At 35.1% G+C, this 21,577-nt stretch overlaps 1 long non-coding RNA gene across 1 annotated transcript in view; it reads left to right on the plus strand.

Moving 5' to 3' along the window:
* Positions 1 to 10,028: 10,028 nt before the first annotated feature.
* The window catches only part of LOC105378787 (uncharacterized), a 32,634-nt gene continuing 21,085 nt past the window's right edge, over positions 10,029 to 21,577 (plus strand). The window contains exons 1-4 of the long non-coding RNA XR_947486.2: positions 10,029 to 10,249; positions 12,199 to 12,264; positions 13,594 to 13,842; positions 21,281 to 21,389. This is a non-coding gene — a long non-coding RNA (uncharacterized LOC105378787). The remainder of the gene's footprint in view (positions 10,250 to 12,198; positions 12,265 to 13,593; positions 13,843 to 21,280; positions 21,390 to 21,577) is intronic.

Below are 21,577 nucleotides of genomic sequence, written 5' to 3' on the forward strand. Positions count from 1 at the left end.
TGATGAAAAAGATAAAAGACTCTAAGGATAGATCTGGGATATAACATGCCAATAATAGAATTTCCAGAATAAGAAAGAGGAACAGATGTAGGGGTTACGCTAATTTAACATTCATTCAACAAAAATATCCCTGGGATAACAGAAGATTTAATTTTATAAATTTAAAAGATGTACTGATTTCCTGGGATGAGTGATAAAAAAGACCATGGACTTAGGCATAAAAATTTCTAAATTTAAAGATAAAGGGAAGCAGCTCTTAAAGGCTCAAAAAGAAAAATCAAAGTACTTACAATAGTACAATAAACTAGAAAATGGTGGAATTAAATACAAATGAGTAATACATAAGAGTTAAAACCCCAGAAACCTATACCTTGTCAATGTATTAACATGTAAGAGCAAAATAGACAGATATTAGATGGATAGATAGATAGAATAGAGAGATAGACAGATAAATACATACACACATACATACATACATACATACATACAGAGATAATTGAGAATTTAAAATGTGTGTCCCCTTACATAGGGCAATAATATATAATTTATCATTCCAGCTGATAGTGAAAGATGGCACTCTTAATGATTATACCACAGCAACAAGCATAAACTAGGACTTTCTAGGAAAATTGGACTGGCATATAATTTATCATTCTAACTGAATGTGAAAGATGACACTATCAATAATCCACACCAAAGCAATAGTACTTCCTAGGAAAATGGGAATGAATGACCTCTACTCTTATACCACATTTGAGAAAAATGTTGAAAAACTTGAATTATTAAACAAATGTTAGGAGAAACAAGAACTCAAGACAGAAAAAAAATGAATTGGGAAGGAAATAAATGATGAGCATAAAGCTTACAGTTAAATGTAAATGAGTAGTGACAGATCATTTGGAAATAGCAATGTAATATTAAACTAAGGTTCCTGAAATACAGGAAACACATTCCAGATAAATTCTAGTAATAATTCAGAAATAAGAGTAATAAACGTTGTCAGAAAGAATTGAGGTAAGAGTAGGAAAAAGAGGGGGTGTAAACCATTTTAATCACTTCATTTGGAGGGAGAGATAGTATGAGAGAGAGTAGTGAAAGTGTTCTTATGGTCTCAGTTTATTAAGGAGAGTGGAGGAGAAGCAGTGAAATAGATTACAGAGAATTAGGCAAATTCACAGTTAAGACACAGTCCTATAAATCTTCTCAGTCTGCCCAGACTTCTGACACCAGCCACAAATTCAGATGTCCTGAGAGCCATCCTAACTTCAGACCAATTTACTACAAATTTGAGGGTCTCCATGGACTTCTTCATGTTTGATGATTTGCTAGAAAAACTCACAAAACTCAAGAAAGTGCTGTACTTAAGATTGCAGTTTTATTATAGCAAAAGGATACAAATCAGAACCAGCCATAGGAAAGGACGCATAGGGCAGAAATTAAGACTGCAAGTGTTCTGAACACAAAGATTCCATATTCTCAGGGTTGTGTTATCCTCCCAGAGTTGATGTATGGAGATACATACAGAGGGTATTGGCAACCCAAGCAGCTCACCGCAGCTTTGGTGTCCAGAGTTTCAAGCCTGAGGCTTGATCAGCGAGGTAGGTTGGGTGTGTTGCTGTTCATGTGGTTGGACTGAGTCTCCACTACTACCACCCTTCCCTGGAGGGGAACGGGCTGATGTTATGTGGCTCCAAGTGCCAGAACTCTAATCACATGGTTGCTCTTTCTAATGTGGCCAGCCCCTATCCTGAGCCATCTTATTTGCATACACTATCTAAGGGGCCCGACAGAAGTCATCTCATTAGCATAAACGATTAAATGTAGTCGAAAGAGCCCACTGAATAACAAAGTCATTTCTATTATTGAGAAATTACGAGGGTTTTCAGGTTACCCCAAAGAAACTGGGTGCAAAGGCCAGGTCTCTCTTTGGGCAGAAATGTATTTTTTATTACAAAAGAGCATCTTTGTGTAGGAATTAAGCTAATTTTTTAAGCTTATATTTTAGAGGTTATGTACCTAAAAAAAGAGTAGAAATATATAGCATAACTTGTAAATTATCCAGGGAGAAAATAGTTTTTTTTAATTATACTTTAAGTTCTAGGATACATGTGCACAACGTGCAGGTTTGTTACATATGTATACATGTGCCATGTTGGTGTGCTGCACCCATTAACTCGCCATTTACATTAGGTATATCTCCTAATGCTATCCTTCCCCCCTCCCCTTCACCACAACAGGCCCCAGTGTGTGATGTTCCCCACCCTGTGTCCAAGTGTTCTCATTGTTCAATTCCCACCTATGAATGAGAACATGCGGTGTTTGGTTTTCTGTCCTTGCAATAGTTTGCTCAGAATGATGGTTTCCAGCTTCATCCATGTCCCTACAAAGGACATGAACTCATCCTTTTTTATGGCTGCATAGTATTCCATGGTGTAAAATAATTAAATTGCTTAGCTAAATCAGCAAAAATAAGGAAATGTTAAAATATAAGCTATTAGCTAATGGATAAAAAAGACAATGATGTTTTCACCTTGCAAGTCATTCCCTTGAAAGTGAGGGTCCTATCTACCCATTTGTTCTTTTTTCCATCCTATTAGCTGAAATGTGGATGTGATAGAAGAAGATGAACTATTTCTGAATTCAAGATGGACTCTGAATTGAGAAGATAGATGCCTTGGACCTTAACACTATTGAGCTATCAACTAAACTGCAGACCACTTACCTTCATATTTGTGAGATGAAAATAACTGTCTATTTTTAGAGGAGCCCAACCTGTGTCCTAACTAGTATAGCTAGGCATAGAGATACTAAAGAATTGCTATAACTAGATAACCATAATGGAAATAATAATGCCAGAAAAGGTGGCATTTAATGTTGCAAGGACAAAAAAATGGCTAAGATAGATCATTGTGTAATGATAAGAAGCAAAATTCAACATGATGGCCTAAAAGTCATGAACTATGTATTTCAAACAATATAGCACCTAACTACCTAAGGAAACGCTGTTAAAAATATAAAATTTTTAAAAAGAATTGTGAATTTATAACAGAAGACTTTCATGGTGCAATCAATAAGTTTGATTTAAGGAATATATAATATAATATAATATAATATTATATTATATTACAGCCATCAAAGAATATTCAGAATTTTATTTGATGTTTGCCTTCATTAAAAAACTATACTTTTAAAAATATTTTGACTTTTTTTTCAGGGCATATTTCCTGATTTTGAACCAATCAAATTAGAAATAAATAATTTAAGGGTGTTAAAAAATCCTAGCAGTTTGAAAGATGCTAATAAATAACTTAGATTAAAAAGAAAAATCAAAACTGATATTAAGAATTATGGGCATGAAAGAAAAGGAGAATATCTTATATCAAAACATATAAGAAATACACTTGAGAAAATGGATAGCCTTGAATGCCTTTGTTTTCCAAACAAGATGAAAAATAAAAGAACTTGGTATTTATCTTATGGAATTAGACATACACAATAAACAAAAATAATTTGGAGGGATGTATACTTAAGAGGAAAAATGACAATATAATGGAAAAATGGTGGAAAATAATTTTTAAATCTAAAAACTGATATGTGAAAAAAAGATTATTAATTTATACATATTATATGATCTTAGAGACTTTATAGTAGACAAATCTTAATGTGGGTTAAATGTTGTTTCCATGACAGAATGGTTTAAATTTTATTTGAAATTTTCTAAGTTTTTATTGTGATAACTTAAAAAAAACAATGAAAATGAACCTTATGATATGCAAAAGCCATCTGCAAGTTGAATTCAGTCTGTCTGTCACTGGTTTGTGACTTGTAATATATAAGATTCCTTGGTGTGACATTCCCAATTTTTAGCATGCTGTCTTTCACATATGTCAGGTAAACTATGAAAAACACTTTTATGAAAAACAATCAGCCCCTTTTGAGTCCGTTATTTTTCTTCTTGGTATGCCTCTATTAATAGTACTCAGAGCTCAGTTATTCTATTTTTATTTCAGGGAGAACAGCATTGCACTGACTTCAGAAGTGAGGGAAATAAAATTCTTAAAAAATAGTCATTTCATTATTAAACTGATGAACAAGGACAATTTTACTTGATGATTGTCAGATCTATACACTCTAATTATATTTTCCAATCATTTTTGTGGTGTTAGCAAGCCACGATCTACTTTGTACATGTCATAAGATGCTCGATAGTTTAATTCAACTATCCTTTTTCTTTTTAACCAAAGATAATCATGGAAAAACAGAGATTAGTATGTATTCTGATTTATTTCAGACAGGCAGAATACAGTCAGCATTCACTTCTCATGGCTTTCAAGCCAATGACATTCATCTTCCTCATGAATTCTGGATAAATTGAGAATTGCCAAGGATTAGACCATAACAGATTATTTAGCAATGTGGATTAGTCATACAAATCTTTTTGAATCAGTTCCATAAAGATGATAAGTGGCTAAAGCCATGGTGCCAAAGAAAAGAACAATGTACAATCTGTGAACAAAAATGCAGGCCATTTGGCTTCACTATAGCAGTATCCCAGTGTTTTGCCAGAGAAGAGGAAGGGCTTGGAAGGTAAATGAGTCCAGAGATTCAAGCCCCATCTGTTCAGACAGGCTGAAGCTTGCTGGGTTGACAGTGCTTATGCTGGGCATTGATTGATATCATCTCAATTGGCTCTTGACATGAGAGGCAGTTGAGGATGTCTGAATTAGAAATTGGTCCTAGGATCCTGAACATGAGCCAAGAGTAGTAGTTACAAAAAACAAAAACAAAAACTATAGTAAAACAAAGTAAGTGTCCTCTCATTACTGCCTACGCCCCTTTGAAAACAAAAGAAGAAAAAAAAATTAGAAAAAGAAAAGAAGAAAAAAGGAAAAGATGAAGAAAAAGCAGAAAAAGAAAAGAAAAAATGTACAATGGAATTTGAGGCTCGGAAATGACAAATTACCACCTATCTATTTACAATGAATAATCATTTACATATACGTGTTCCATATGTTCCTTTCTGTCACACATAGTTCTTTTATTTCTATTGTTCTTAAATGTTAATTTTCTTTGACATCATAAATTTATATTCAATATTGACAGGTTCTGATAATTTATGAAATTTTCTTTATTTCATGTTTATGTTGTCAAAGCCTTCTTTGTAACCCTATTTAATATATACTATAATTACTTTTTCTGTGTTAATTTTTAATGTATTTCCACATTTATAATATTTTAAAGACATTAACAATTGTATAATGTTCACTACATTAATGTGCAGTAATTTAATCAATTATTTTTTGTTATATAGAAGTTTTCCAACCTTTCAGTATTTTAAATAAATTTGTGATGAATGTGTGTTTACATGCATGTGTAAAATTCTTTTTTTTTTTTTTTTTTGAGATGAAGTCTTGCTCTGTCGCCCAGGCTGGAGTGCAGTGGCACAAACTCGGCTCACTGCAAGCTCCATCTCCTGGGTTCACGCCACTCTAGCCAGGATGATCTCCTGACCTCGTGATCCGCCCGCCTCGGCCTTTCAAAGTGCTGGGATTACAGGTGTGAGCCACTGCGCCCGGCCATGTATGTGTAAAATTCTTTATGTCATTCAGATTGTTTTCTTTGACTGAATCCTTAAGAGAAATCTCGAGATAAAATATAGGCACTTTAAATTGTTTAGATATATGTTGTTCATTTGCTTCTCCCAACTTATCCGTAATATCTGACATGACAATGGAAGAATCTAATCACACCCAGCAACTATGAGTAATCTCATTGGGTTTTGTTGCTGTTGTTTTTATTGCTCTTGTTCTTGTTTTATTGGTAATAATGTGACAGACAACATAGTATCTCATTCTTATCTTAGTTTACATTTGTGTAATTACTTGTGAGATCGAATAAGGTATATAACAGAGTTTCATACATTCCTTTTTTTTTTTTGAGGCGGAGTCTTGCTCTGTTGCTCGGGCTGGAGTGCAGTGGCACAATCTTTCATAATTAAACTGATGAACAAGGACAATTTTACTTGATGATTGTCAGATCTATACACCCTAATTATATTTTCCAATCATTTTTACAGGGTTAGCAAGCCACGATCTACTCTGTACCTGACATAAGATGCTCAAATGCAACCTCTGCCACCCAGGTTCAAGTGATTCTCCTGCCTCAGTCTCCCAAGTAGCTGGGACTAGCAGTGCCTGCCACCAAGCTCAGCTAATTTTGTATTTTTAGTAGAGATGGGGTTTCACTATCTTGGTCAGGCTGGTCTTGAACCCCGACCTCGTGATCTGCCTGCCTCTACCTCCCAAAGTGCTAGGATTATGGGCGTTAGCCACCGCGCCCAGCCCAGTTCCATACATTTCTTAATCAGTGGTTGGTTAACTGTTTGATGAAGTATTTCTCCAAGTTTTATTTTGTGTGTGTCTTAGCGCATCAGGCACTGCAATCAGACCTATACAATCTCTGCCCCCTATAAATTGTATGATCCTTGACAATTTTCTTAATTACTCTTATCTTGATTTGTTTACCATTGGTATGGTATTTATCTCTTGCCCCCTATAAATTGTATGATCTTTGACAATTTTCTTAATTACTCTTATCTCGATTTGTTTACCAATATTGGAACAATATTGTTCCAATATTGGTATGGTATATATCTCTTGATTCTTAATTTTATATTTCTCATCTGAATTCTAGATGATTATATTCAATTATTTCATAGAGTATTCTCTTTTATGTCTCAAAGTTTTCTCAAGTTCAAAATAGCTAACATTAAGCTCATGTTTTTAATCCTTACACTCTCCTATATATTTCTCTCTCTCTCTTTTTTTTTTTTTTATGATTTGCATTCCCATTCAACCATTTTTTCCCCATTCAACCATTTGAACAAGCCAGGAACTTAAAAGTCATTCTCTTTTATTTTCCATAGTCAATACCTAACTATATTCTTTGACAATTTAACTTCCCAATGTCTTTGTCACATTTCATTGAATCTAAAATCCAATCAAGTGTAACATGCCCCATTATTTTCAGTACCTCTAAGAAAGAAGAAATGCCACCAATTGATACATTGCTTGACTCAAGGGTCCTAAATGACCAAGGCTTTTTACAAAATATTGTCATCTGTACCATCAAGAATTTTGGCTGTGTACCTTTTCTAAGAGTGTTGTTCTATTATCTTTTGCATTTTGCAAATTTTCATGCACTTGCATAGGCAATGACGATTGAAAGGCTAAATACAGCACAGAGACTTAAGAAGCATCCTGATTTCAGAGGTGTTAAACATGTTTTAAATTCATCTTAGAATTTTGAATTATGGTGTTTATCTTTTCCTCTGCCGCCATCCCACTAGTCCAAGCTTTACTCATTTATTGCTTAGATAACTACAGTAGTTACTGAAGTAGTCTATCTGCATTCAGCCTTCCCATTTTCTACCCAATCCCATCTTTACCTAGCAGCTACACGGTTTGAAAATATGATAATATCACTTGCACTGACTCTTTCTTCTCTAGCTCTTCAATGGCTTCTCATTATTTTTAGAATAAAGACAAAAACCTTTTTATCTACCAACCAGGACTTGCATGGTCTGACCCCCCATCTCTTCTCCAGCCTCATCCTTCTCTGCCTTTCTTCAAACACCACTCTAGAGGTCACAGCTCCTCAGCTTCTCCGTTGAGTCTTTGCACACATGTAGCTTTCCCCTGACCAAATGTTCTTCTTCCCCATAATTAAATTATCCTTGTACTTCAGATCTCAATTCAAATTACTTTCTCAGGGAAGCATTTCCTGACCTCTTCAGCCAGATATCATTACCCATTAACTTCATTTGTATAGCACATAATACAGTTACAGTCTGATAATTATTTCTGTGATTATTTGGTTAGACCATAAACTCTATAAGGACAAGGATTATGCTTGCATTTGTTCACCATTTTATTGTCAGCAATTAGCACAGATTCTGGGAAAGAATAGATGATCACCATGTATTTATTTAATGTATGAAAGAATAAATGGTTATTACTAGAAATAAATGTAATCCTGCAGATTCGAATAGTGCAGTATTAACTGTTTCATAGTAAGCACTTGATAAACATTAACTTTTATTGTTGTGGTTATTGACTCGTTCTTCAGATGGCATCTCTTCTGGCTTCTCACCCACTTTTAAAGAGTTAACATCCCTATATATTGTCACTAATTTCTATGTGTTTGAAGTGCAATGAACCCAAAAGATCTCTCTTAGTTGTAGAATAATTGTATCTGCCCTGCAACATTGGTTTTCTTGGCATCAATTGTAATGAAACTTACTGAATTGAGAGCACATCAAGCTAACACCATCTGGAATAAGCCTCAGATTTACATCTCTAGAAGAGTGAGAAATCAAGAGCCAAGTTTGCCCTCATTTAAGAATCTCAAGCCTATAATCATGATTTATCTTGTCTTTGGTTTGTTTGTTTCGTATTTTCTTAGTAAAAACAAAGAATAAGAGGTTTGCTTTAAGTTGCTTATTATAGCAATTCTCCTTAAGGAATGCTAGCATTTCATTTTAATTATCTATCCTTAAATCCCTTAAAACTATGGATTTTTTTGCTCAAAGGCCAACTCCACTTCTGCATTACTTATTAAAATTTCTTTTATATAAACTCCATTAGTACAGAAAAGAAGCCCACAAAAACGTCCCGTTCAACACTATCATTTCTGTGCATTTGCTTCTGGTTTAATTGGAGCCCTTGATGGCTATTTCATGATCATCATACATTGATTGACCATGTACTGTGGATAGGAACAAGATTAGCTATTGCAAAGGACACAGATAAAATTGAGAGGCATATACCATAAGCTCTTTCAAGTTCCTTCTTTTGTTTCTTAACATCTTTTAATACTGGAAAGCTCTTCTTCTTTGAGAATAGGCAGAAAAAGCTTGCTGCTTCAGTTAAGAGCAAACTTACTAAAATCAAGTTTCATAAGTCACATCAGTCTCTAATTCCTCATCTGTAATACTATAGCTATCTGTGATAGATTGCATCATTGTCACCAAATCTTTATCTTTCTTGTATCCATGTCCTTTGCCTTTACAATTGCTCTCACTAAGGGCTGATATATTTCCTCACTCCAGTGATATTAGACTTGGCCATGTAACTTACTTTGGCCAAAGGAATTTTATTAGGCCGATGAGAACAAAGGCTAGCTCTCCTGTGTTTCTGTCACAATCGTGAGAAACACATACTCAAGGTAGCCAAATTGTACAAAGAAAAGGAAAGCCATATAAAGCATATCTAGATGACTCATGCCTTGGAGCCAACCCGAATTGAACCCAAAGTATATCAGCTGACTCCCAGCCTGACTGGCAAACCTATGGGCAAGAAAATAAGTTCCTATTGTTGTTTGCCACTGACTTTTGGAAAGTCTTGTTATCTACCAATAGCTTGACTAATATATATCATCATATTTTTTACATAATTAAGAAAGGCACTATATTTAAGATGCTTAATACACTGAGATTCTAAATAAATGATATTTTCTAGAATAAGTAATGAAGAAAAACCTCCAGTAAGATCAATAGGCTTTGGCAAAGCACCTTAGAGTTCTAAAATAAACCGAACAGCATTTGACAGTCACCTCTACCAGCTATGTGTCCTGGGGAGGATATTGAACTTCTGTAAGTCTTGATTTGCTCATCTTTAAATTGAAGATGGTGATGATGAATAACTCATAGTGTTTTAAGAATTCATTGAGATTGTGCTTAGCAACAATGTGACACATAGTAAGCTTTCAATACATGTTAGCTATTTTTATTACAATTACTTTTATTATTATTAATTAAATATTCATAATAATTTTCATTGCATAGTCAATACTATTTTGATAATTTCCTTAGAGGAAAAAAGAATGTTCAGTTTTAGAAATATTGGCGAATTGTATTTTTTTGTCAACCTACTTCAAAAAATTTTGAAGTAAATTGTTAAATCAAAAATTAACAATTTCCCCTTTATAGGTCTAATATATCTGCTGCTCAGAGTGCTTGTTTTGACAAAGGTTTCAAAATCGACAACATTTGAAACATCAAGTAGTTTGACTTCCACTGTTCTCTTCAAGGTTGTTTTTTTGTTGTTGTTTGTTTTTTGTTTTTTTCTGCATCTATTTGGTTAATAGGGCAAGATCATGAGTGAAGACTATCAGGATCCTTCTAGTCCATCATCTAAGCCTGGTAATTCCTCCTGGTCAGCATATCCTGTTAATATTATATGGCATTTAGGTAAGGAGCTCTACTTAAATGAATGTCTTTCTTGATGTAAAAGGTCACTTCCAATTATTACAGCATATATTTATTTATTCCTATTTAACATTTGTCTCTCTCAGTAGTAAGTAAGCTTTCTGAGGGAACAGATCTTGTCTTGCTCACTGAAGCATCCTTAAAGCCTAAAATATTACCTGGCACACCGGGCTCAATCAGCAAATACTTGCTAAGTGAGTAAATGAACTAACATAATTAAAAATGGTTAAAACTCCTTGCATTTTTACATGAATTATTAATAGTATTCTTAAACTATCAGTAAGAAACCAGTTAGTTGCCAAATATTGCACAGCTTTGGGAAGTGAAATCAGGCCAACCCCAAAGCTCTACTTATAAAAACTACCCACTAGTTACAGTGCTGGAGCACCTATCATTTTATTATCATTTAATCTACCTATTAGAGAAGTGAACTGGATTAGACCCATTTGCAAAGAATCAAAAGAGAAAACAAAACAAAACAAAAAAAGCGCTAGTATATATAAAGAAAACCTACCAATTTGAATTTCTCATTCAAAAAAGATTTTTAGCGCAGACAAAATTTTAGAGGCAGCAATAGGAAAAATATTTTATAAATATTAATTTTCAGTAGACACCTTTCTTCTTCATTCACATGAAGGTTTTCTTTCTTCTTTTTTACATTTATCTCTTGGAGTTATGAAGTCATAGCTCTTAGAGATAAAAATAGCTTCAAGAGTCTGTTTCTGTTTCCTTTACAGTCATGTATTGCTTTGCTTTTGTTTTAAGATGTCTCTTAAAACAAATTTAGAAAAGAAATTGGCTTTCCCTGGATCACTGAACCACACACGTGCTTTTTACTTGCCTGGGTAGTATTGCCCGAAATTCAAGGGTTATGACTCCAGAATATGATTTATTCAAGGAAGGTAAGAGAATGAAGTAAGAAAGTATGCATCGATTTATTTTAGGATAGAAATGTAGACTCAAAAATTATAAATTTCCCAAAGTAAGTTACCTGTCTGGTTTTGGTTCCTTAACCAGATCACACAGCAGTCTGCATACACAGTCACACTTAACATAATTAAACTGAATTAATTAATTAATAGCAACTGGCTGTTAGAGACAAATTGCTGAATTCTTTTGTTCTGCATTTTGCAGAAATGCACATAAGGTATTTAGAGTAAGTTTAATTAATTCTGAGACGTTATTTTCCATAGTCTAATTGACCATTGTGGAGATGCACCCTGTGCTACTTAAAAGACTTTTGTCTCTAGCTGCTCAGAGCACCCATTGGCAATGTAGCCCTAAGATAATCAAACAGATTTTCTGGAGAAGCTGAATTTTTTATCTTAGGACAAATGTACCCTTTCACCATTTATTCTCTCTCTCAAAGCTGGAAACTTAATGCTTAAAAAAGAGAATATATCTTTCTTCAAAGGTTATATCTGAATTGGTTGCTCTAGTCTTTTATTAGTTAGCACTCTTTGGTTTCAAGTGAAATAAACCCACTTGAACTACTTTAAGCAAAGCAGGAGGATTTATTATAAGATTCCAGAGATAGTTCACAGACACTGAGAGCATACAGCCTGGTGGACCTCAATAGTGACTTGGATTGTAATGCAGCTAGTTTATAAGCTGATCCAAACATGTATGCCTTGTTGAACTTCCTGAGCTTGACCAATTCTCTTAGCTGGTCACCACTCACAGTAGTTACTAGCGTCATGCTGCAATTATTTTTCTAACGCCTTTGTTTTCCCTCAGTGTGAAGTGTTTGAAGCTTCCTTGAAAGAGAGGTGACAAAGGAAGCTCACCTCCTTCAGTTCTACTGGTTAATAAGAACCTTTCCTCTCTTTCCTATAAGCTTCAGAGAGTACGATATTTGCTTTCTTCAAATTATGGACAATTATGTTTGCAAGTAATTAGACTAGTTAGCTCTTCCATTAACTCCCTCTTAGACAGGAAGGGAAGATCAGCTTCAGGCTCAAAGCAGATTCTCTGGGAGCAGAAAACACTTCAGCAGGGTAAGCTTATGACACGACTCAATTCCAGAAGCTATAAAACTTCTGTCACTTAAAGTCATTCGTTATTTGCGCTACCTATAATTATTCCAGATTGACATTTTATGGATTTTGAAAAGATTAAGAAAAAATAATATACCATGAATTTACATCTTATGAAATAATGGTGTATGTAAACAATCAATAAATGCCAATAAAATTTTAAGTTATTAAAAATTTGCAAGATATTGAACCTACACTAACAGTCAATACTAACTGCTGACGCTTTATGATGGAGCTGTTGAAAAATAAATTATATCATTGCTTCTTCTTACTAACCTGGCTGGAAATATTTATTGCTTAAATCAATGGCTATTTGAAACTATCTTAAATATTCCTATATGTCTAATTCTAATCAAAGTCTCAAAAATGGGTGGTACCTGGAAAAATGATTCAGCTTAAAAACCACCACTTTATCAGCTCTAAGAAATACTTCCAAAAACACATTTTTAACTCTCTCTCGATGTATATGATCATATAATATCACAAAATGACTTTTAGCATTTCTTAGGCATTCTTCAGCGTTCTGGGTTACAGACCACAGAATTCACTTATATAGAATAAACAGAAAGATATTTGTTAGATGGGTTACAAAATTTCCAGGAAGGCCAGAAGCCAAGAGCGTATAGTGCAGAGCCTAGAATAATGCATCCAGGAGATACCAAATATACCACTAAATGCTACTGTTGGCCACACTGCTACCACTACTACCTGGCACTCTGAATCTGTGTTTCTAGGAGGTGGTGTGTAGCACCTCCACTGTCATATTTCTGGAAGACATGGTTTCCCCACATTGATCATGTCCACTTTTCTCACAGGTGCATAGGTATGGCAAAACTTAGATCACTTCCTAGAGGGAGTCTGGGAAGTATACATTTTACCTTTTCATCCTTTGTCCTATAGGTCTATGTTAGGGATTTTGAAGTACAAACTAATGAACCAGTCAGCAATGTCTGCCACACCATGAGACCCTAATTTAGTGAAACACGTTTTGAATGATGTTGATTCAATTATAGTTTATCTTTTACAAATAAAAATGCCTGCTAATTCTACCAAACATACCACAAATGTCTCCTGCTTTATGTCTTCCCAAGTCTCATCAAGACATAGAACTTTATGCCTCCAGACTAGCATTTTAATTCACAAGTTTATTTTTTCATTTTTATTACTGAACTGTGAACTCCACAAGCACAGAGAAAGTTTACCTCTGAAGCAATATTATCTTGGTAGCTAAATCAGATTCTGATTATGGGTCACTTTAGAACCTCCTTGCTTAATTCTCCTTCTCTCAAGGCTGTAGCCTGCTTTCCTCTCAAAGCAGCACTCCCAGTGGCTCACACAGTTTGCTTGGTCATCAGCCAACCTACTGGGGAAGCTGCCTGCTGGTTTGAAAGAGCACCCAACGATCTGGAAGACTGTCTACTGCAACTGTACATGGTTGCACCAGATCCACGGAGCCCTTGAATTGCCCCTTGGCAACCTTAAAAGGACCTAGAAGTATGAAAAAATCATCAATGTCACTTGGGATGGACTTTGAACAAGGTAGGAGACAGCCAGTGGATACATTTGTTTCTTTTCTCCCCTGGACAAACTGTTCAAAGATGTGATACTTCACAGTCACTCTGAAGATGCTCTCCATGAGTGAGCCTTCATCTGCCTTTAGTGGGAAGCTGTGGTCAGTTCAGTAATGCACACTTTTTTATTCCCTTCGTCTCTGTCTCACTTCCCTTCTTCCTCTCTTCAGTTTTTATGTGATTTCATACCCCAGTAGCGTGTTAACTCATAGCTTTTGCCTCAATCCTATTTTCTAGGGGGACCAAGCTAAGACAATATCTGCTGAATGAATACATGAAAGAATAAAGAAAGTATAGCTAAGAGTATAGCATTGACCTGCTTAAGGTCCAAAGACAGCTAGGGAAAAGCCAGAACACAGTCTCCACTCAATTTTAAGACCACTGAGGAGGGAGACATTGGTTATGATTTTACATTCAACATTTTACACAGGGCCTGGCAGATAGCAAGAACTGGAAAACAGTTGATTAGTAAAGGAAGAAAGTCAGGTAGTCAGGAAGGAAAGAAGGGCAAAGAAAGGGAATAGATCATCAAAGTAAGAATTAAAAATGGAGCTCAGGGAACTCCAGGATTTGAGAGGTGGGATCTAAGTAGCAGGCTGAAGTGGATTCCAGCTTAGGGTTGGATCAGGCTATGGTTTAGAGTTTCAGGGCCAATGCTCAGGCTTATAGGAGTTATAATACATCTCTGAACTTCCAGAATAGAACAAAGGACTCCAGACACTAGCAATCTCATGAGAACAAAATGCCCAAGTGTGGAATTACAGAATAATATGGGCTGAAAGAGCTTTAAAAATGCATGGAGCCTCCACTCTACTCCTCCTTTCCCCACCACATCTCCAATACCGCCCAGATTCTAATTCCATGTCCTTATTCTTTTCTACTAAGCTCCAAGGGATCCTCAGAATCTTTCACAGAGTACTCAAGGCAATCATGTCCACAATCATTTGGTGTTTGTACGTAACAAGAATTTTATCTGTCTTCCTGAATCTTACATAATTTGCCCATTTACAGAGGTCAAGAATGTAGACCAGAGATGGAAGGAAAAAATCCCAGTATCACACCACACGCATCCTACTTTAATATCAGTGCCTTCTCTTAGTCATCTGAAATATTTTGTTTATGATTTCAGCCACTTAGAATTTTGTAATAACTGACTTATCTTTCATTGATGATCTCCTTAAAATGTAGGCTGTCATCTTAACCTATACTGAATTTAGAGTTCTCTTCCATCAGTTATTTTTTTCTGAAGGTCTATTCCACTTGAAGTATAGAGATGAATCTGTTCAGCCTTTCAGATTTTCATAACTTGACATTAGTTTACATTTTTAATAATCTTGTTTCAAGGAAAGATTGGTGATTCTGGATCTTCAATCTGGTATTTTTGTTTTGTTTGAGTCTCATGCTATAATTCTCTATTTTTTTGTATTTGCTATGTTTTATTTTATTGATACATACTATTTTACATATTTATGGGGTACATGTGAGTGTTTGTTAATACAAGGCATGTGAAATTATCAAGTCAATCACGGTATTTGAGGTATCCATCACTTTGAGTATTTATCCTTTCTAAGTGTTGGTATCATTTAATGCTAGAATACTTGAGCAATTTGGAATGGGGATTACTAGACTTCTGGTCAATTGGCAACTGAGGGTCAGATATAGTTTTAAATATATTAGGGAATTATATTCATATAATTACATTTATATAATACATATAACATACTGGAGTTATTTCTTTATTACATATATTATATATGTACACAATATATATTACATATATATGTGTATGTTTATAGATATACACACACCAATAAAAACAAGGAGGAAGGAAGGAAGGAAGGAAAGAAAGAAGGAAAGAAAAGAGGAAGGGAGGAAAGGAGGGAAGGAGGAAGGGAGGGAGGGAGGGAAGGAAAAGAAGAAAAGGATAAAGCCAGGATGTGGTAAAGACCATCGCCATCTCAAATACATCCATGCTCCTCTACGTTTCTCACCCTCATTGAAATTATGTTCAAGGAACTTGTGATTGGGTTCAGCCTGATGAGATGCAGATACAATTGATATCAGCTGCATACAGACCAGGACTTTCTAAAACCACAGAAAATATCCAGCCTTTTTTGCAATGATTTTGTAATGATATGATTGAGAACTAAATTTTCAGTGTGATAAACCACTGAAATTTCAAGGCTAATCTTTTGCAGAAGCTAATGTTAATTGCCTTAACTAACATATAAATTGCTTTCTGGAAATTGGTGCTGGCATAGAAAGACCCAAAATATTTATCAGTGGCTTTGCAGTCATGGGGCAGGTGGCAATGAAATTGATTTTGGAATCTGAAAGGTAGTGATATAAGTCAGAGACAAAATATTTAGTGAAGCCATCACCTGTGATAACTCAAAGTCAGGCTCTATATCTGTTGAATTTTTATCTCTGGAGGGCTAGCATGGAAAACAACATGCTAGGAATGTGCTCTGGTTACTTATGATTTCATTCAGGAAGGACTGAGGAGAAAGATATGAGCTCAGGAAAAAATTAGCTGGTTTGCAAGTATAATCAAAGTGAATAACAAGAGACCAAATTTGAGATCTTGCCCAGTTGGAAAATCTATTCGGCATGTTTTCTGAATTTTTAAAAATGTCTTATATTGAACATGAACAGGCATACCTTGGAGATAGTGGGTTTATTTCCAGACCATTGCAATAAAATGAATATTGTAATAAAGTGAGTCACACAGATTTTTTGGCTTCCTAGTACATGCAAAAGCTATATTTACACTATACTGTAGTCTATTAAGTGTGCAATAGCAGTAGGTCTTTAAAAACAATGTATATACCTAAACTGAAAATACATTGTTGCTTAAAACAAAAAAAAAAAGGTAACAATTATCTGAGCCTTCAGTAAGTCATTGTCTTTTTGCTGAGGGTCTTGCCCTGATGCTGATAGCTGCTGACTGACCAGGATGGTGGTTGCTGAAGATTTGGATTGTTGTGGAAATTTTTAGAAATAATATAGTAATAAAGTTTGCTGCATCAATCAAATCTTCCTTTCATGAAATATTTCTCAAGAGCATGCAATGCTATTTGATAGCTTTGTTTTTTAACATTAGAACTTCTTTTAAGATTGGAGTCAATCCTCATAAACCCTGCTACTGCTTTATTAACTAAATTTATGTAATATTCTAAATCTTTTATTGTTGTTTCAGCAAAGATTATGACATCTTCAATAGGAGTATATTCCATCTAAAGGACCCACTTGTTCATCCATAAGAAGTAATTTCTCATGCATTCAAGTTTTATCATGAGATGACAGCAATTCAGTCACTTCTTCAGGCTCCACATCTAATGATAGTTGCCTTGGTATTTCTACTACATCTGCAGTAACTTCTTCCACTGAAGTCTCGAACCCCTCAAAATTATTCATGATGATTGGAATCAACTTATTCAAAACTCCTGTTAATGTTGATATTTTTTATCTCCTCCCATGCCATGAACCATAAATATTCCTAATGATATCTAGAATGGTGAACCCTTTCCAGTGGGTTTTCAAATTACTTTGCCCAGATCCATCAGAGGAATCATTATCTATGGCAGTTATAGCTTTAAAATTGTTTTTTTTAAATAATAAAACTTGATCAAAAGTACTCCTTGATTTTATGGGCTACAGAAAGGATTTTGTGTTAGCAAGCATGAAAATAGCATTAATTTCCTTGTATATATCCATCAGGCACTTGGGTGCATCAGTGCATTGTCAATGAGTAATACTATTTTGAAAGGAATCTTTTATATTCTGAGCAGTAGGTCTCAACAGTGGGCTTAAAATATTTAGTAAACTATACTGCCAACAGATGTGCTGTCATCCAGTCTTTGTTGTTCCATTGATAAAGCACCATCAGAGTAAATGCAGCATAATTCTTAACAGTCTTAGGGTTTTTGAAGTGGCAAATCAGCATTGGCTTCCCCATAAAGTCACCAGCTGCATTAGTCCCTAATGAGAAAGTTAACTTGTCCTTTGAAGCTTTGAAGCCAGTCATTGACTTCTCCTCTCTAGCTATGAAAGTCATAAATGCCATCTTCTTCCAATAGAAGGCTGTTTCATCTACATTGAAAATCTGTTTATTGTAGCCACCTTCATCAATGATGTCAGTTAGCTCATCTGGACAACTTGCTGCAGCTTCTACATTAGCACTTGCTACTTCACCTTGCACTTTTATGTTATAGAGATGGCTTTTCTCCTTTAAACTCATGAATCAATCTCTGCTAGATTCCAACTTTTCTTCTGCAACTTTCTTGTCTCTCTCAGGCTTTATAGATTTGAAGAGGTAGAGACTTGCTCTGAATTATGCTTTGGCTTAAGGGAATGTTGTAGCTAGTTTGATCTTCTATCCAGACCACTAAAAATTTATCCTCATCAGCCAAAAGGCTATTTTACTTTCTTATCATTCATGTGTTCAACGGAGTGGCAATTTTAATTGGCCAAATTTCAGTATTATTGTGTCTCATGGAATAGAAAGGCCCTATGAGAGGGAGAGACAAGGTGGGGACATCTAGTCAGTGGAGCAGTCAGAACATACGACGTTTATGGATTAAGTTGACTTCCTTATATGGGTGCAGTTTATGGTACCCTATAACAATTACAATAGTAACATCAAAGATTGCTGATCACAGGTCATCATAACAGATAATAATAATGAAAAAGTTTGAAAAATTGTGAGAATTATTAAAATGTAGCACAGAGACACAAAGTGAGCATATGCTGTTGGAGAAATGGCACCAATAGACTTGCTTGATGCAAGGTTGTCACAAACCATCAATTTGTAAAAAAAAAAAACACCTGCAAATTGCAATAAAACAAAGCACAATAAAGTGAGATGTGCCTGTATTGCTTTTATGATGTAGAAAAATATCTGTAAATTAAGGAAAGTTTATTCACAACAAAATGAGTAGTTTCCAGAGCACAGAGATGGTGAAGTAGAAGTAAGATTGAACAAAGTAAGGTGAAGAAGAGAAGAAATAATAAGGCAACAGGAATATCAGGTACAGGTCATTGGGAAATGAGCTGGAATAATGATGGGCAATACACTGTTACTACTGAATAAAAGGGAAGTACACAGACCTAATCAGTACTAGCTACAATGACTGGTGGGCTATGTTAGGAAGTGATCTCCTTTAACTCATTCTTACAAATTAGAGTCCTTGAAAGCATGGTGGTCAGTCCAGCTGGACCCTAGTTCAGATGCTAAAACTTCAAAAAGTGGCTCATAGGGCTGGGAGCGGTGGCTCAATCCCATAATCCCAGCATTTTGGGAGGCCAAAATGGGCAGATCACTTGAGGTCAGGAGTTCATGACCAACCTGGCCAACATGGTGAAACCCAGCCTCTACTAAAAATACAAAAATTTGCCAGGCTTGGTGGCGTGTGCCTGTAATCCCAGCTACTTGGCAGGCTGAGGCAGGAGAGTTTGCTTGAATCGGGAGGTTGCAGTGAGCCAAGATTGTGCCACTGCACTCCAGCTTGGGTGACAAAGTGAGACCTTATCTCTCAAAAAAAAAAAAAAAAAAAAAGTATAGGAAACTGTTATCAAATTCAAGCTTGGGGCAAGGATTTGTCCTCTGTCTCTAAAGGGAAGAAGTGCAAAGACATTTGTTAAAGGTTCTGTAGAAAAGGTAGGTTGAAGAATAGGGAAAAACAATGCAATCTACCACATCTGCTTCATTTTTATTTCTCTCCCCAACACTAGAATGTAAACATCATTAACAGGATTGGGTATGCTATATACATTGCCATTTCCCCAGCATCTATAACAGAATCCATTACAACCATCAAACAATATTTTTAAATGTGTGATATGATCTTGAAAGTGAGCTGGATTATCAACCTGTGAAAATGAATCAAAACTTAATCTTGTAGTTTTAAAAATTACAACAGTTAAATAAACCTCAATTTTTTTATTACTTTGAAAAATAGGATTTTAGGGTAAAATGTCTATTGGTTAACATGGAAGAGAGTCTAAAAATGGAAGTTTTGATATTGAACACAGACTAGTTTCTATAGCAATGAAGCAGCCTCAATTCAAGGTTTTATGATTTCAAATTAAAAAGGGCAAGCATCATATTGTCATATTTTATATGTACGTGGTCAGCATCAAACACATAAACACATAAATAAACACATCCACAACTTATAAGCATTTATAACATATTAACAAGAAGAAGCAGCTTTCTGCTCATGCCCTTGCTATTAATCATTATGGCCATCGTCTTACATTTTATTGATTACATTTTATAGCCTTCTTATGAGGGAAGGATTTTATGGTTTTCACTGCTCTTGGAGAATAATACAGCTTATGTCCACAGTGATAAGACCAACATAAATCTACCAGATGATTGGTTGCAGTTTTAAGAGGTGGGTTTAAAGAATCTATATATCTTTAATTTAGCATGCCTCTTCAATACAGTCTCTGTGAAATATAGAAATATAGAAAAGCACTTTTCTGTTGCTCTTATGCATAGATTTTATGTGTAGTTCTGTTATAATAATAACAACTGACATTTATTAAGTGTTTACTATATGTTGGGCATGCTTTTAAGTACTCTGTATATATGTTTTGTAAATTTTCATGCTGACACTGAAAAGCTGCTATACTTTCCTCTTTTAATAAATATAGACACTGAAGGAGAGGGTTTAATTAAGTTGCAAATGATTTGCATGTCCATCATTTATTCACTCATTTAACAAGATTATTGAATACCCCTTTTTGTTAGGTATTATGATAGAGATTGGGAAGCAAGATGTAAATAAGCAAGTAAGTTTCTGGATCTTGGAATACTTAAATGTTTGTGATAAAGACAATACATGAAAACAAGCAGCAACAATAAAGAAGATAACTTCCTCTACTGATATATCTATGAAAAACAAATTAAATATAATGATAAATACAGTAAATATGGGTATAGAGTGTGGCTTTAGATAGGAGAGTCAAGGAATGTTTAACAAAGTGAGAGTAGAGTTTAAGCTACGTGGAACTGAATCTGCTAAGACAAATTAGGCATAGAAGATGCAGGGAAAGAGACTTCCAGCCAGGGTGAAGAGTGAGCAGGAACAGAAAGGAGGCCAGTATACTTGCAGCATAGTGCATGAGAGACAACAACAAAAAGAGGTCAATCAAGTAAACCCAAGTCCTCTCACTCTGGAGCCTGCCTTCTTATGTAATAACTAAGATTTTGAACTCTCTCAGCCATAGAGTATTCCCAGCTTGGGAATGAACTGCAAGGCCAAGGTTGCTGTCCCAAAGCGTAAAATCTCTGAGAACTCTCCAGCATTCTTAAAACATATAAATTTTACATTCTATTTCTAATATATATTTAATTTATCATGAGAATAATACCCCCTTCCTCTTGAATTTCTTGGAAGATGAGCCATATTTCTTCTGAGACTCTGCAGGGAACTGCCTGGAGCATTTCTGAGCATACCCGAATGTATATAGGATACATTTTGAGAAACACGATCACCATAGCTTATGGTAAGAACTGGGTAAATGCTTAATGAACAAATGAATGAACTTATTCATTGTGTTACTCTCTACTGAGCACATGAAGTGTCACATCATAGCCTTAAAAGTCTTGTTGGGAGGTAGCAAAGAATAGTGTTAAATATGCATATGAATTTCTTATTTAGGTTTATTTAGGTTTGAATTTTGACTAGCATTTG

Source organism: Homo sapiens, chromosome 1 (genome assembly GCF_000001405.40).
Source record: "Homo sapiens chromosome 1, GRCh38.p14 Primary Assembly".
In the NCBI taxonomy this organism is placed as follows: Eukaryota; Metazoa; Chordata; class Mammalia; order Primates; family Hominidae; genus Homo; species Homo sapiens.